This window comes from Homo sapiens, chromosome 6, assembly GCF_000001405.40.
Source record: "Homo sapiens chromosome 6, GRCh38.p14 Primary Assembly".
NCBI classification, from domain to species: Eukaryota; Metazoa; Chordata; class Mammalia; order Primates; family Hominidae; genus Homo; species Homo sapiens.
Window position 1 is genome coordinate 88,836,468 of NC_000006.12, and position 18,641 is coordinate 88,855,108.

The following is an 18,641-nucleotide window of genomic DNA, read 5'->3' on the forward strand; positions in this document are numbered from 1 at the left end:
GTGGTGGCTCACGCTTGTAATCCCATCACTTTGGGAGGTCAAGGTGGGCAGACTGCTTGAGCTCGGGAGTTCAAGACCAGCCAGGGGAACACGGTGAAACCCCATCTCTACAAAAGATACAAAAATTAGCCGGGCATGATAACACGTGCTTATAGTCCCAGCTACTCAGGAGGCTAAGGCGGGATGATTGCTGAAGCCAAGGAAGTCAAGGCTGCAGTGAGTTGTCATCAAACCACTCCACTCCACTAGGTGACAGAACAAGATCCTATCTCTAAAATAAAATAAAAACAGAACTAGGCTTGGCTTAGGAAAAGAGCAGAAATAAAAAATTAATCTAAAAGTTCATGGGAGGAGAAAAAAATTAAATAGCTATCACATTTTTAAAAATCAGTTCTCAACTTCTTGGCTAAGATCAAGTGCAAAAAAATACCCCCCAAAAAAAAGAAAGAAGAAACTTCAGGTATTTTAATAAATGGATATTGCACTCAAAGGGAGAGAAAAATTTAAATGTACCAATTTTCACATAGGAAGTGAAAAAGATATTAACCCAAACCCAAAGCACTACAATCCAAATAATTCCGTGGAGGAATTCCTCAAAAACCTAAAAAAGCAGGTAATTCCAATGTTTTTATTAAAACTGCTCTGGCCGGGCATGGTGGCTTACCGTGTAATCCCAACACTTCGGGAAGCCAAGGCCAGAGCACAGCCTTGAGCCTAAGAGTTCAAGACCAGCCTGGTCAAACATACTGAGAGGCACTATCTCCACAAAAAATTTTAAAATTAGCTGAGTGTGGTGGCACGTGCCTGTAGTCCCAGCTACTCGGGAGGCTGAGGCAGGAGGATCACTTGAGCCCAGGAGTTCAAGGCTGTAGTGAGCTATAATTGTGTCACTGCACTCCAGCCTGGGTACCAGAGCAAGGCCCTGTCTTAAAACAACAACAACAACAAAAAAAAGCTCTAGAACATATTTTTTTAAACCAAGTTTTTTTATTACACTGATGAAAACAGAGTATAACAGAGTGTACCACTGATGAAAAAGTTTCCAAAGATTTACAACATATCAAGATTATTTATAAACATCAATGCAAAAATCCTTTAAAAAAGTTAGAAAAAAAAACTGGGCAGTACAATTTTTAAAATAATATATTAAGACAAAGTAGGGCTTATCCCAGGAATGAGAGAATGATTCAACATCAGGAAATATTTTCATATAATTCCTGAGATAAACAGATCTAAACAGAAAAAAAAATAGTATTCGATCTATAGTAGATGAAAAGCCATTTGACCAAACTGAACACCCATTCTTGGTTAAAAATAAAACAAACGCATACTTGTTTCACCTGATAAAACAGATCTCAGAATTAAAGGCAGTATATCATACTCTGAAGAAACACCAGAAGCATTCCCACTCAAATCAGGAAAAAAGAATCCCCATAACTACTGCCACAATTTAAAACTGTATTTATGTATAATCAAACTAGACAAAAGTTAATGTATGAAAAATCCAATAAGTAAAAATATCACTATTTACACTTAATATGAATACCTAAAAAAATTGCAAAATTATTGCAAGCAATAACAAAAGTAAGAGAGTTCGATAAATAAGATTGTATGTCAAAATTATCAGCTTTCAAGTTTAAAACCTAACCATGTATAAAAGGCATCTATCCTAGAGTCCTATAGCTAACATCATATTTAATAGTTAAAAACAAAATTTTCCTTCCCTATAGATGTGGAAGAAGACAAGGCTGTTCACTCTCACTGCTTCCATACAACATTAAACAATAGATTCTAGTCAGTGCAGTAAGGCAGGAGAATAAAATTAAAAGCATCCAAGTTGGAAAGGGAAAAGTAGCACCTTTTTCACTTATATAGTTGTCTATGTAATAATTTTGATGAAATTCACAAAAAATTATTAGTATAATAATTGAGTTTAGCAAGACTGTAAGATAAAACATCAAAATACAAAAATCAACGTACTCCTTTGGGGAAAAAAGTATATTTCTATATACTACCAATAGTCAGAAACGGAAATTTTACAAAGACTTTTATGACAATATCAAAAAGTATGAAATAAATCTGAAAAAAGATGAGCAAAATCTCATGCTTAAAACTACAAAAATTGCTGAGAGACAATAAAGAAGACCTACATAAAAGAAAATATATGCCAGGTTGATGAACTAGAAAACTTGGCATTGTTATGATGTTAGTTCTTCCCCAAAATTGACCTATATATTCATTACAATTCCAACCAAAATCCCAGTAGGCTTTTTTGTAGAAATTGACAGCTAATTATAAAATTCACATGAAAATGCAAAGGCCTAGAATAGCCAAAACAACTTAGAAAAGAACAACAAAGTTGGAACATTAATACTATCTGATTTCAAGATTTACAACAACCAAAAATAATCAAGACAGTATGGTACTTGAGTAAAGACAGCCAAATAGATCAAGAGAACTGAACAGACAGTCTAGAAACAGAACCAGACATACACAACAAACTTCATTTTTTATGAATGTGCAAAAGTAATTCAATGAGAAAAGGATAGTCTCTTCAACTGGTATAGAAACAACTGAATATCTATATGCAAAAAAAAAAAAACCATGTCAACAGACTAAAAATAACCCAAATGTCTATGACTATGATGTTAGCTAAGTTATGGCATACTGATACAATGAAAATCTGTGCAACTGTTAAAGAGAAATGAAGATGATCTAATCTCTGTGTACCTATACTGGAGTGAAGAGACTTAAGAGATACTGTCAAGTTTTTTTTAAAGAAAAAAAGAAAACGACAGAACAGTGTATTAAAAAATCACCATGCTGGTCATGGTGTCTCATGCCTGTAATCTCAACACTTTGGGAGGCCGAGGCAGGCAGATCGTTTGAGCCCAGGAATTTGAGACCAGCCTGGTCAATACAGCAAAATCCCATCACTCAAAAAATTAAAAAATTAGCTAGGAATGGTGGTTCCGGTCTATAGTTCCAGCTATTCAGGAGGCTGAGTTGGGAGGATTGTTTGAGTCTGGGAGGTCAAGGATGCAGGGAGCCATGATCGCACCACTGCACTCTAGCCTGGATGACAGAGCAAGACTCTGTTTCGAAAAAAAGAAAAAAAAATCATCACTTTATGGAGATAGTAAGAATATAAATAAATGTGTTTATTTATTGCTAAAGAAATTCTGGATGGATACACTAAAAGCTAACAGCAATGGTTACTGAGAAGGTGATAAATGGATGGGGAGCTTTCAGAGAAACTTTTTACTGCATGTTTTTAAAGTTTTGTTAGTCATATATAGTCTGTTCAAATAATTCTTTTTGAATTGGCCTTCAAACTGGAAATGTAAATAGAATCGCAATTTGAAAAACAGCTTGTTATTACTATTTTGGATGTTGTATTCTGACTGTATATTAAAGTTAAAAACTGAACAATTATCCCTTTATTGTGTTTAACAGATCAAATTAAACAAAACAAAGAGTTATAGAGCAATATTAATAAATTCCTAAAATCAGAATCATCTTTGAGATTTTAAAGATACACATATGAAATTCTATTATTTTTCTACAAAATTAGTATGCATGTTTTATAGCTGTAAATTTTGTTTAAAACTTCATAAAAGCTACCATTCTTAAAATAAATGATCTATACTTCCCTGAAAATGCTGTAAGGTTCGTAATATCACTATTTTACCATCCCATTAGCAAAGATAAAAATCTCCACAGCAATAACCTGTCAATTGTAGTTATTATCCTATAACTGGTGTTACTAAGGTCTTACATGTTATGCCAATTCTGCTATAAAGTGTGTTTTCCTTTTGTATTCTACAACCGAAAATACTTCAGTAAGAGACATTAAGGACAAAAAACAATAATAAGAACTGAAAGTGAGGAGAGGAGACTATTCAAAATTCTAAAAATTAGAATTGCTTTTATTATTTATTTATTTCGAGACAGTGTCCCACTCCGCCACCCAGGCTGAAGTACAGTGGCACAATCTTGGCTCACTGTAGCCTCAAACTCCCAGGCTCAAGCAATCATTCCACCTCCGCCTCCTGAATAGCTGGAACTACAGGCATGTGCCACCATGCCCGACTAATTTTCTAGTATTTTTTGTAGAGACAGGGTTTTGCCATGTTGCCCAGGCTGGTCTCGAACTCTTGGGCACAAGCGATCCAAGTGCCTTGGCCTTCCAAAGTGCCAGGATTACAGGTGTGAGCCACCACGCCTAGCAAGAATTGCTTTTAAAAAAGAAATATCCTATGATTTTAAGGAATTACATAAGCTAAGTATAAAGAAAAACATAGTAAGAACACTGTCTTTCTAGTGAAAAACTACATAACAAGTTGTTCCACATAATTGTTTCAAATCCCTAAAAAATAGTTCTGATATTACACATTAGCAAATATTTCTAAGCAGTACTGATTTGACTAATGAAATTATACTATCTAAACACATTTTCTTAAATGCTGAACTCTGAATTATGACAGCACAACCTGTGAAATTCATTTTTTAAAAATGAACACAAACCAAAGGAATCTGGCTTTTGCCCAACTTTTATACTGTATTTACAATTTAGAAAATGTTCTCATAAGAGAACACAGTTTCAGTTAATAGACTTCCACCGTGGACAGAGCAGATGGTTAAATATTAACTTTATCTTTACCCAACCTATTGGACAGGGCACAGTAGTACACAGGCTCTTGTAGGTACCCCCTTAATATCCCTGCTGCCAAAACAGACACAAAAGGCAAGCAGTGAACAGTCGAAAGATCATAGCGGCAGAGGTCAACCAAAATTCCCATGCCAAGCAGGTGTTACACAAAATCATAATAAAAGTAGGATGATTACTCTGTATTTGTTGAATGAAAAAGATAGCCACTCAATAGTGCTAGGATTACTTACAGCTAATATCATATCCAAAGACTGACACCAAATTAAGCAGACTAGAGTAGGAGCAGGTGAAGAGTTTAAAACATGATTGCATATGTTGCTATATTTTTGTACAATTCTATCATAACCACCCTCCTCCCAAAAAATATAAATTATTTGGGTACTATTCCCTGGGTTGAATGTAAACAGACCATGGTTCTTCATGGCCACCAATTTTTCAAATGCCCTAAACCAGGCATATAAAACACTGGTTTAGAAAATAAAATCCCACCACAATGCAACTTCTTGGATGCCACGTGCAATTTTAATGTAAAAGTACTCATAACCCAGTATCAAAGCTGAACTATAAATTCAACTCACAATAGAGAAATATAAAAAGAGCAAATGCCTCCCAAAGTTTCTGAATCTGTGAAGCTACAAACCTGATTCTGGAATATGACAAATTTCACAAAAGGTGTAACATTCCTTCAGGCTTCTTAGGAAATAGCCAGCTGGCCTTCTTCTGAATGCCAAATGTGCCCCCTTATCCCTTCTAAAACTTCTAAAACATTTCAAATGTTTATCAGTATACAATCAAGCATGGGACCATGTGGTATGCAGGCTCAAAATACATTTAAATTCTGATAAGGAGAGCAGAGCTTTATGACTGCCAACTAACATATCTATGAATTAGAACCATCAATCGGTTTGCTAAGAAAGTTAACCACTACCAAAAGCAAGAATGTCTTACGAATATTCAAAACTGCAGACAAATTATAAAACAAGGAAGAAAGGAAAACGGGAAGTCAGAGAAGAAAAACAAATTAAAAGGTGGGTTCAATAAATCAGACATCCTAACACATAACAGGCACACAGAAAACACCATGTATAGTTTATATACAAAGAAATAAGAATCTCACCAAAAGCACAAATGAGAAATGGAGAAAAGTCTTAGGAAATAGTCAATATGCAGTTTATATGTCTTAAAAAAAACAGAAATACCAAGGTACAATTGCTTTTAAACACTAGATCTGGTAAATATCCCACTGAAAACAAACTATGCAGCAGCAATAACAGTAGTACCAGTAATAACAGTAGTCATATGAGTGATACTAAAAATAATAACAAAGAAAAAAAAGAGAATGAAAAGGAAAATGGAGAAGATGAGGCATAAACAGAATTAGTATGTTCATGTGAGAACACAGGGCATGAAGAAGAGACAGTGAATAGAAGAAACTGGATGCTAAATAGACTATGCAAACAGAAGACAATTCCCTGAAGGAATGGAAGAGTAAAAATAGAGCATCTAAATGTAATCATCAGACAAAATCATAGCAATATTAGAACATAATATAAAAACATTTTAGAGATGAAGGGCTTCTTAAGCAAGACAGAAAACCAGAAGATGCAAGAAATATTCTGCCAAATTTAACTACATAAAAATGAACTTTTCAGCCAGGCATGGTGGCTCACACCTGTAATCCCAGCACTTTGGGAGGCTAAGGCAGGCTGATCACTTGAGCCCAGGAGTTGGAGACCAGCCTAGGCAACACAGGGAAACCTCGTCTCTAGAAAAAAATACAAAAAAATTAGCTGGACATGGTAGTATGCGCCTGTAGTCCCAGCTACTCGGTAGGCTGAGGTGGGAGGATCACTTGACCCCAGGAGGTCAAGGCTGTGGTGAGCCGAGATGGCACCATTGCACTCCAGGCTGAGCAAGAGTGAGACCCTGCCTCAAAACAAAACAAAACAAAACAAAACAAAAAACTCATACTCACCTTCCCATTACAATACACTGCCTTGCCTACAGATCAAAAAAAAAAAAAAAGAGTGCTGGCAATGGGAAAATGAGCTCTCTCATCTGCTGGAGACAAAATTGCTTTATTTGGAAAGGAATTTGGCAGTAGTTACTAACATTACTCATAATCTTTAAACCAAAAATTCTACTTACCCTGAAGAAATATCCACCCATATAAACAAAAATGTTCACTGAAACAGTGTTGGTAATAGCAAAGGACTAGAAGCAATCTAAAAACCCATCAATTACAACATAATGTATAGTACACCTTTACTATCATTACCATGCAGCACTTAACAAATAACATGGCAAATCTCTATACACTGACATGGAAATATCTCCAAGCCATACTGTTAAGTGAAAAAACAAAGCAAAACAAAAAGAACCAACATCTTGGAATATTTAGTATGATTCTTTTTTTTTTTTTTTTTTTTTTTTTTTTGAGACAGAGTCTTGCTCTGTCGCCCAGGCTGGAGTGCAATGGCGCAATCTCGGCTCACTGCAACCTCCACCTTCTGAGTTCAAGCGATTCTCCTGCCTCAGCCTCCCGAGTAGCTGGGACTATAGACATGCGCCGCCACACCCGGCTAATTTTTGTATTTTTAGTAGAGACGGGTTTCACCATATTGGCCAGGCTGGTCTTGAGTTCCTGACCTTGTGATCTGCCCGCCTTGGCCTCCCAAAGTGCTGGGATTACAGGCATGAGCCACCGAGCCTGGCCTTAGTATATGATTCATTTTAAGTGGAAACAACAAAAATACTAAAAGAAAACCTTCAATGTATGTGTGTGTGTATATATATCTATATATATATCTGTATATATATATACATACACATATATATAAATGTATCTTTTTAATAAGAGTACGTACCAAACACTTTACCTTCAGGATGTGTAGGAGCAGGCCTAATGATTTTCATTCAATACAGTTCTATGTTGCTTATAGCTTTTTAAAAAACGTAGTATGACCAATGACCATGAAACAAAAACTATTATGAGAAAAAGGGAAACAGCCTAGTTTCAGGTGCCACCACTGAGAATCTTATTCAAGAGAAAAAGCCTAGGAGTCGTACCATGTTTGGCCAAAACAGCGCTATACCCAATTCGAGTATTTTCTGACAAAGTCAAGACAACTGGGCAGCAAAATGTCATTCATATTCATCTTGTAAGCTGAATTATGAGACATTATTAGCACTAATTTAAAAAAAAATTAAACTTTACCTTTCTTGAAGTACAGATGTCAAAAAACGGCTTATTTCTGACGCTAAATGGTTCCTGTGTTTTGTCAATGAGCCCAGTCTTCATTTTTTCGTGTCGAGGACTTATAATTTCTCGTTCTATACACTGCAGACGAACATTAAAATCACAATCTCCAACGGGCTGTGACTGAATTAAATAAAGAATTAGTTAAATTTCAACACTAACAACTATTTTATCAGCATAATTATCAAGGCTGCCACAATGTACATAATAGTCTGTGTAAACAGCATCCTCTGGAGTTATTCAGTGCACAGCGTGCACAAACATATATACCAACCCTAATAATTAGTTTGACTAACAATACAACTATCTAAACACACAAAGAGACTTATTTTAAAATACAACTGTATAAAACAGTATGAGAAAGTGGCACAATTCTACTGTAAGTTGATCGAAATATTTCACATCTAGGCCGGGTGTGGTGGCTCACACCTGTAGTCCCAGCACTTTGGAAGGCTGAGGCAGGAGGATCACATGAGCCCAGGAGTTTGAGGCTAGCCTGGGCAACAGAGCAAGACCACCACTTCCAAATTTTAAAAAATAAAAAATAAAATAAACAATTTCACATCTGAATTAAAGTATTAATATACTTACTATTTATAGGTACAGAATCATTTTAAAATAGAAAAAATATATACTCACTAGTCTTTTTTAATTATTTATATAAATTAGTTGAAACCCTTTAACAGTACCCTATTACAGTATAAAAACTAAAATCCACAGAATTCAGAAAAGTACAAGCGAGTAACACACCAAAATAGGTCGCACAGTTACCTACAATGTTTTTTGTTGTTTAAAGTGCTAATGCTATAGACATCAGCAAGTAGAAGACATGTATCAAATACACCCTCAACTCTGGAAGCTAACACAGAAGTTTACATAATATGTTCAAAGTTATACAGTTATAAAGAAATAGTACTCTCCCTCAAATACACTTTCCCTTGAATGTTCTTAAAGCATATATGGTTTGAACTGTGAAATAAAAAGTACATGAACACTTTTGTATGAATTGAGGATAAGTCTCGTCCTATCCATGTGGCATATACAAACACAGTTATAACATATTATCTGGTTGACAGTAACCATCCAGATTAGTAATTATCGCTTCAATGGCACATAAGCTACTCTTTTATTTTGCAACTGGACACACCTTAAGTGCATTTTTCCCCCATCTTTTCTGTCTTTTTCCTCTTCTCCAATGTATATTCTCCAACCTAACATTTACTCAACCTAATGTTTACATAGGGGTGGCAGCACTTGCTTAAGGAGTAAACATTAAATATACCTTGGGGATGTCTTTTTCTCAACTTTAGAAGGATGACAACTTTGATATTCAGCAAAGAATAAGGAGAGAGACAAAGTGAGTGAGAGGTATGAGGTAGCACACGTTCTCTTTACATAAAGGCATACAACCATCTGTAAAGGATATTTATTGGGGAAATGCTAGTAAATAACCATACAGTCCATGTGTCATCTCTTCTATGCAATCAACATCATCAACAAGGTTGAAAAATCTAAAACGTTAGGCTGGTTTATTAGAGTTATTAAAAGAATTCAGACACCTATAAAATTAAAGTAGAATAAGTAAGCCCTCTTTTATGTTCTAAAAAAAAAAAAAGTCTAACAACTGTTAAAACATATGTAAATGTCTAAATTCCCTCCTAGAAGCTTTCTACCTTTATACATAAATTCACCAAACTTCAAGAATAGACTGAAAGCAAGTTCACCTTCAAATCCACAATGCCTATGGGCAAAGTTAAGCTCTCAACAGATAGGTGTTGAATTACTGAGAAGAGACTACAGGAAACACTCAATAATTATTGACTAGCTTGTCTCCCTGTTTTCAGTTCTTACTCCCTTCAAAACACTATCCATGCTGCCACTAGTTATCTTTCAAAATAGTAAAAGTATATTCATATCATTACTATAATGAAAACCCTTTAACAATGCCTTATTACATAAAGAACTAAGTTAAAATGCCTTATTCAAGTAATCTGGCCCTCTACTTAACAATCCATTCTCATTTTTTGCTATGTCCCACACCTTACCATCCGTCAAGTATACTAGCAGGCCGGGTGCAGATGGCTCACACCTGTAAACCCAGCACTTTGGAAGGCTAAAGCGGGCAGATTGCTTGAGGCCAGAAGTTCGTGACCAGCGTAGCCATCATGGCAAAACCTCATGTATTTGTATTTTTGTGCTAAAAATACAAAAATTAGCTGGGCGTAGTGGCACACGCCTGTGGTCCCAGCTACTCGGAAGGCTGAGGCATGAGAATTGCCTGAACACGGGAGGCAGAGGTTGCTGTGAGCTGAGATCATGCCACTGCACTCCAGCCTGGGTGACAGAGGAAGACTGTCTCAAAAAAAAAAAAAAAAATGTATGCTAACAAACCATCTAATGCTCCTGACCTCCATGACTCAATCCTTCAAAACTAATTTGTGTCACTTTCTCGGTCTGCAATTCCATGCTTCAGTGACTCAACTATACCCAGGGAAGTTGGAATACTCTCACCTCTCTAATACCACTATATCTTTTATATACCTTTGTTATGTTTATGATTTTAAAGTTATAATTATTTCTTTACATTTATATTTCATCAATAGTCTGCAAATTTGCTTTAATTTTATATCCAATCTAAACACATATCCTAACAAATACATTAAAAAATGCCTGTTTTTTAAAAATGTGTATACATACACAACTGTAAAATATTACAAAATGTTACGTTTTTAATGTAAAATGTTATAAAACTGACAAAATAAAATATTAAATTTTTTTTTAAGTTCTCCTGTGTTCTTCCCAAATTCCAATGAAACGCTGTGCAAATGGCCTTCTTTGGAAGCCAGTACACTAGCATGTGAATTCTTTAAAGGCAAGAAATTATGTCTCATTCATCTTTGTATACCCAGTACATATGTACTTGACATATAAAAGATGATCGATGCTGAGAGTCAGAGGGTGAAAAAAAAAGATGATTGATGAAATTCTTTCTGGACAAGCTAATAAACTAAGGGACTGAAAAGATTTTAAATATTATTTCAAAAAAATTCTTTTTCTAACAGTGGCCCTGATTTGGTGATACAAAATAAATAATATTGTTAATCATCCATAAAGACTCCATAGTAAATTAAAGAATTAAATATACGATACTTTCAATTATAAATGCATCCCAATATCAGAAATGTAAAAATATACGTGGCTTAAAATCATAAAATATGGTAATAGGCACACAATAAATATGTATTGAATAAACAATTATTGACCTAAGGACAAAAAGCATAACAATCATTTTTAGAATAAAATATAGATTAATTTCTTAAACAAAACAAAAAGTATAATATTTGGGAAGGTCTGATGAGATTGACTTTATTAAAATTTAAAGCTTCTGTGCATTAATAAACACTGATTTGGAAAACATATTGCCACACATATAACCAGGAAAGGACTAGAATCTAGGAAAGATAATTGACTCCTACATATTAAGAAGAAAAAAAAGAGACAGAAAACCAAATAGAACAAACTTGCAATTAAGTTACAAAAGAAAAATACAAACAAATAAAAATAAACCTCAGAAATATGTCCAACTTCATTGGTAATCAGGGAAAAAAACAGACAACCAAATAGGAAAAACAGAAGATTGTATTATAAGATTATACAAACTTGCAATTAAATCATATAAATTCCAAACAAGTAAAAAAAAAAAATAAGAAATATGTTAAACCTTGTTAGTAATCAAGGAAAAGCAAATTAAAACAGGATGATACCATTTCACACACATCAAATTGGTAATAATATAAATGTGTGATAAAACGAACTTTGGCAAACTGAAACAACTATTTCTGAGAGAAATTTAGCAATGCAGATAATATAGCTGAAGCTGCTGATTTAATCACCATCTCCATGATACACTAATGACGGAACAGAGTTTTTAAAAACACTTCCCAGGTAATTACATTCCAAGAATGAGAACAACTGTCCTAGCGAAATTTTCATGTGCGCACAAGAAAAAAACATAAAATTGTTCAATATAGTAGTAATATAAAAGCAAAAAATGGAAACCTTAATGTTCATCAAAAGGAAAAAGGATAAATTCTGTATATTTATACAATTTAATACTCAATGGTAATTAAAGTGAATGAACTAAATCTAGACATATTAGTACAAATAAATCTCAACATTATCTTGTTGAGCAAAGGTCAGCAAAGGTATAGTACAATAACATTTATATAACACCAGAAACCTTGCAAAAGAATATCATATATATTTCATGGATACACACATAGGTAGTAAAAGTATCTGAAACATTCATGGGAACAATAAACACACCAAATTCAGGGTAGAGGCTGATTCTGGGCAAGAGATTTGAGATTAGGAGAGAGGTGTAACTAAGAAACTTCTATTGGATTCGTAATGAATCATGTCTTATTAAAAAGAAAGTGGACCAAAAGTATGAAGTTTTAACAAATCTAGCTGGTCAGTACATGAGTATTCCTTACATTATTTTTCAGACTCTTCTATATGGTGAAATTTTTCATATTTTTAAAAAGTATTAGAAAACTGCTATCTAAGAGACAGTACTCAGCTAAGAAGTGAGAGTAAGCCCAGACTGAACATGTATTAAAGCAGAGCTCAGTGTCAAGAAGTAAAGGAGACAGAACTTCCCTACTCACAAAGAAACAAAGCCACCCCGCCACCCCTTATGTCTAGTTATAGGCCAATGAATGTTATTCCAAGATCTGTGATGAGATTAAGCCAGTTCTGGAAAGCAGTACTTATGAGGAATACAGTCAAACAGAACAAAATAAAACTTGATGTTTTCTGGCCCTGAGGCTCTTAAATTTGAAGTTCTTTGTTTTAAATACAGAATTTCAATCAAAAAATTAGATGTGTGCATTAAAAATGTCCAGAAAAAAATGTCTTTTAATAACCTGGATTAATGCAATCCTGAATTAATACTGCAATTTATTACCCATTCAACAGCTCATAATCAGTTTCTCTTTTGTTTTGTTGCTGTTTTGGTGACAGAAATAAACTCATGAGATTTAAAAGAAAAAAGTACAGGATAATTAAAATCAGAAATGTTCATTTTATGAAATGCTGTCTTATTTTATCAGAGTTATGCCATTATTCTTTACTCACTTGCAAGTTAAAGAAACCTAAAACAAAGAAATGTGTGAAAATTAACAATAAGAGAAAGAAAAGGAGATATAAAAGGATTAAAAAAAAGATTCCCAGTGAGTAACCTGAGTCACAAATTTTCTTTCCTACTATCTCTAAGGCAGCACCAAAGACTATTGTCAAAAATACATTCATTATTTCAGTAATAACTTGTATTTTATAAATTATAGGTACTTACATTGAATTTAATTATGTCATATATCAAATATCTAGGAACAGCCTGTCCATTTACTCTGTCAATAATCATCTCCTTGAAAGAGAAAAGAAGGTAAGTTTCTTCATACTTTAATAACAATTTTTTTTAATTTAATTGAAATATGGCATACACACAGTAAGCACATAAACCATAAATATACAACTTGATGAAATTTCAAAGTGAACACACTTGTACCCAGATCATATCAATAAACTGTTAGCCCCCCATCCCCATCATGCATTTATTCTATACTGAAATAGAATCACCTGACAATATCTCATCATATTTTTCATATTTGAATTTCCATGCTACATTTTGCTTTATGCTTGAATTACTAAGTGACAATTAAGGGTAGGAAGACTACAAATTTTAAATTCTAAACGTCAGGATCTTTTTTAAAAATATTTTTGTTTAATCATTAATGCTTTAAATTTTGTTATACACCAATTACTTTAATCATAAAATCTATGACAATAAATGGCATCCTCATTATAGATTTAATTCCCATGTGAGCCATGTGGCCTTTCTTGGTTTCATACCACTTTACTAGGCTTTGTTCAAAGGGAACAGGGCAAGGGAGTATGAACAGATCACTGCAAATCTACCATAGCCATTAAAAAGTCAAAAAAAATGCAGTCTGACAGAACAAGATAAGGACATTAAAGGATGACTACAGGTATAAAATGCAGTATTACTTAAAATTTTAATTATTAATATGTTTTTGACCTAAAATTATTTTTCTTTCCTCATATTCTTACTAGGAAACCAGATAGGTTTTCTTGCTATCTAATTTTATAACAGAAATTCCATGTACAACCATCTAAAATTACAAAAAAAACACACTGATTTAGGAAAAATATATTTTGTTGTTGTAAGAAAGCATTACCTAAGCCTAAGTACAAGGAGTGTAGTTATTTCTACTTGAAGAATAAGAGAAAGTTTGGTAATAAGGTACATGACCATTAGCTGCATCCTGAAAGATGCAGAGTATATTTTCCAGCAGGATAGTGGATAGGCCAAATGGTATAACAAAGGCATGAAATTGTCCAAAGCTGAGTATTTGTGATTAGCAATCACAATCAAAGATGAGACTGAAGACACAGGCACGCTTCAGATATAAAGAATATTATATTGAACAGTTTGGCTTTTGTGCTATGAATAACAGGGAACCACTGAAGGGTTTTCAAAACCTGTGGGCCTTCAAGGCTCATCTCTGTAACTCATTCCTTGAAATCTTTCATATAAGGCTCCCTTGGTTCTAATCATCACAGTCCATATAGGTGATGAAATGTTCTGGAATTAGATAGTGGTCTTGATTTTATGACCTTGTGGAAAAGACTAAAAACCACTAGATTGAACATCTTAAAATAGTGAATTTCATAGTATGTAAATTGTATCTCAATTTTTTTTAAAAAAAGAACTAAATTTAAAAAAAAAAAAAATCCTAAAAGCAGTTCTTCAGATTGAAGAGGAATAACAGAACCCCAGATACATAACATATATTAAATGTCAGCTATATACATATTGGTTATACATGTTATATAATTATTAGCACAACAAAGTTACTAAAAGGATATTTCCTTTTAACATCAAAATATAAAATGTCATCTCTTGATTGTTTATTTTTTCTAAGTTTACAGACTTTCTAAAATTTCAACAATAAGCATGTAGTGTTTTATAAAAAATTAATAGTTGAAAAAGACATGGAATTTTTCCAAAATTCTTGCCATTAACTTTAATGATTAACTGCTATATTCTTATCTTAGTCTCAATATTAAGTTGATTAAATTTCACTGATGTGTTTCAAGTGAATTAATGCAGTATTTCTAAATTCCTATTTTCCACATTTTATAGGTCAAAGAACATAGTTAAGCAAAGCAAAACAAAAGCTTCAATGCTCACATCTGACAGTCAGACAATTAGGTGGTTTGAATTATTCTTGGATTTGGAATTTTACAAAAACAATTTGCACATGAAAATGTAGAAGAAACAGGAAACTACAGGACTGTTTTAATTAACAAAAAAAAACAGATATGGCAACTATAATTCTAGCCCAAGTAAATTGACATCATGAATCATACTGCTATTTTTAAAACTTCACAAGAATCTATTATGCCGCTCTCAGTTATCCAAGTTTGAGGTGAAATAAATAGTATTGCTAAGTTAAATCTGTAGATGGTTAAATATCTAATTTTTAAGCATTATTTCCTACCTAGAATGCCCTCAGCCCACGTCCATCAAAAATCTTTCTATAGAAATCTTTCTGTTTCTAATGCCAACTCCTACACAAAACATATTTAGTTCCTAACTAACTAGATGTGATTTATTTCTCCTCTAAACTACCTCAGGACTTAAATACCTCTCTTTGGGTTATTGTTTTATTCAAAGGTCTCTTCCATCATTACCATTCATTCTCCACCCTGCTCAATTAAGCAAAATGTTTCAAGGGTGAGGCCTTCTCCTCAACCCTCTAAGCAATACCCGTACTCTTGGTATAGCAACTCATAATAGGCACTCAACAAACATTAGTTCAATTATAAACTATACTAAACTTTGACAAATGCTATTACTTAAGTCTTTTCCTTTCTTATATTTTATTAATTATAATGCTAAAAAAAGTACCTTAAATAAAGATAACAAAAACTAAAATGTTCCTGCTGTTCCCATGAACCAACTACCAGAGCTGCCACAAATGACTATGACTTTTATGTACTATACAACCCCAAGGGTACCAGTCACATTAACTATGATAGTTAAATCTATACACATATAGATACATATACATGTACATATGTATATATATATCATTTTTATTAGAAAGTGGTATTTTGTTACTCATGCTGTCACAGGAATGAAAATTTACTAGATACAGGAAAAAATACAAAAATCAAAATGTCCAACAAAAGGGAACTGGTTAAATAAATTACAGAACTATTTCTCAAACTTGCCTAATTACAATCACTTGGTCACTTGTACGGACATGTAGGCCCCTGGGAGATTCCAATTCATATGGTCTAGGATATGCTATTGGAAAGGGTCATATTTTAAACAAGCAATTTTTTAACCCTACAATTTTCACAGTCAAGATAGTTTGGAAACCCCAATTTATGGTCTCTATATACACAATGGTAAACCATTCAGACATTTATGTGAAAAAGATGTCCAAAACACATTGCTAAGTGTGGGGAAAAAGACAAGTTACTAACCACATGTAACATATGTTTCTCTTCATGCAAAATTATATAACTATCCATATGTATACATATTTGACCAGAGCACTCATTTAACACCCTTTACATATCTTTAACAAATTTCTCCACCAAAGAAAATATCTCAAAGTCTTACTTATGCTCAAAGATTCAGTTGGCAGATCTCTCTTTAAGAGGACCTTAATTCAATATAAGTATACATAAGAAATAAATGAAATTTAACATCCTAATAAAAGTTAGATTTGGCTGGGCGCAGTGGCTCATGCCTGTAATCCCAGCACTCTGGGAGGCTGAGGCGGGTGGATCACGAGGTCAGGAGTTCAAGACCAGCCTGACCAACATGTGAAACACCTTCTCTACTAAAAATCCAAAAATTAGCCGGGCGTGGTGGCACATGCCTGTAATCCCAGCTACTGGGGAGGCTAAGGCAGGAGAATCACTTGAACCCAGGAGGCAAAGGTTGCAGTGAACCGAGATCCCGCCACTGCACTCCAGCCTGGGCGACAGAGCGAGACTCCGTCTCAAAAAAAAAAAAAAAAAAGTTAGATTTCATTCGAAATTTCTTAACCAACAGAAATACACATTTACTTACAAGGAAAAGAAAAATGGCAATGTTTAATTTTATAGTATACATAAATATGACTTACGCCATCCAAGAGAGTATTTGATAAATGCATACGAAGATCTTTACGAAATGGAAATTCCAGATTTGAAACATGAAATACTGAATTGTCTCTATCAATCATAAAAACTTCATTTGTGCCATCAATCAACATCATGTACCTGTAAATGAAACATTAAAAAGCTAATATTTACAGTATAATATCAAGAACAGGGTCATGAGAAATAACATACTGGTTTTCCATAGACCTTAAACATCTGTAGACTAATGTTCACTGGAGTCTCTTTATCATGTAGATTAAAGTATCACAAATAATAATTTTTTTTTTTTTTTTGGAGACAGAGTCTTCCTCTGTTGCCCAGGCTGGATGGAGTACAGTGGCACAACCTTGGCTCACTGCAACCTCCGCCTCCCAGGTTCAAGCAATTCTTGTGCCTCAGCCTCCAGAGTAGCTGGAATTACAGGTGTGTGCCACCATGCCCAGCTAATTTGTTTGTTTTTTCTTTCTTTTTTTTAGTAGAGATGGGGTTTCACTATGTTGGTCGCGAACTCCTGGCCTCAAGTGATCTGCCCACCTCAGCCTCCCAAAGTGCTGCGATTACAGCGATGAGCCACCACGCCTAGTCCACAAATAATAATTTTTTTAACTTTTTTCATTTCCTATAGAAAACACAGAGTATAGGGAATTCTAAGTTTTTTATGGAGATAATGTGATATTCAGGAGTAACCTTATGAATCCATCCTAACAGAGAATGGTTCTCTAATTTTTATGAGATCTTAAACATTGAAGCCTTTCAAAGTTTACAAAATACACATATACACATATATAAATGTACTTTACTAGCTCAATAACTATATGGATTAGGTATTCTCTCCACTTCAAAATAGAAAAAAGCAGTGAAAAACATTAAGTGATTTGCCATTTGCCAGACTTTAAATTATCCAGTGCTCTTTCTACCATACCTGTTAGCAAAACAGCTAATCCCTCTCTTTGAATCAATATCATGATATAGCCAGGTACCACAATATCAGGTATAACTTTTCTTCTCATTTATGACTATAAAATTAAAATATTTTTAAACACAGCCATAAGATTTTCAATTATCTCTTATCTTCTTAAACTCAATCAACATATGGGGGAATTCATACACTTAACAACCTGTCATTCTTCAAATGGTTAGGTTATCATCACTGATTTCCCATCAGCAAATCAAGAATGGAGTTCTATTTCACACCACATATAAAGTCCAGATGGACTGATGTTGAAGACATTACAGTCTGGGAAGCTATGCTACCAAATGGATAATAAGAAGACTTGGGGTGAAAATGAAGATCAAATCCAAGAACCAAAGTCTTCAAAGAATGAGAAAAAATTTATAGCAAAAAAGATTAGAAAGTTAAAAGGCATAAGCCTCAAAGAAACAGAATCATTTTGTTAGGCTGTTTTTGTTTGGTGTTTGGTGTTAAATGAAAGAATGGAAGAAGAGTGGTCTGGAGGTACCAAC

General features: G+C 33.9%; 1 protein-coding gene across 5 annotated transcripts in view; it reads right to left on the bottom strand.

The window, feature by feature from the left end:
• The window catches only part of RNGTT (RNA guanylyltransferase and 5'-phosphatase), a 353,722-nt gene that overhangs the window by 226,571 nt on the left and 108,510 nt on the right, over nt 1-18,641 (bottom strand). For all 5 annotated transcript variants that reach the window (NM_001286428.2, NM_001286426.2, NM_003800.5 and 2 more), the window contains 3 exons: nt 17,162-17,297; nt 13,288-13,359; nt 7,890-8,054 (listed from right to left, as the gene is read on the bottom strand). In NM_001286428.2, coding sequence (NP_001273357.1) covers nt 7,890-8,054; nt 13,288-13,359; nt 17,162-17,297 — 373 coding nt within the window. The remainder of the gene's footprint in view (nt 1-7,889; nt 8,055-13,287; nt 13,360-17,161; nt 17,298-18,641) is intronic.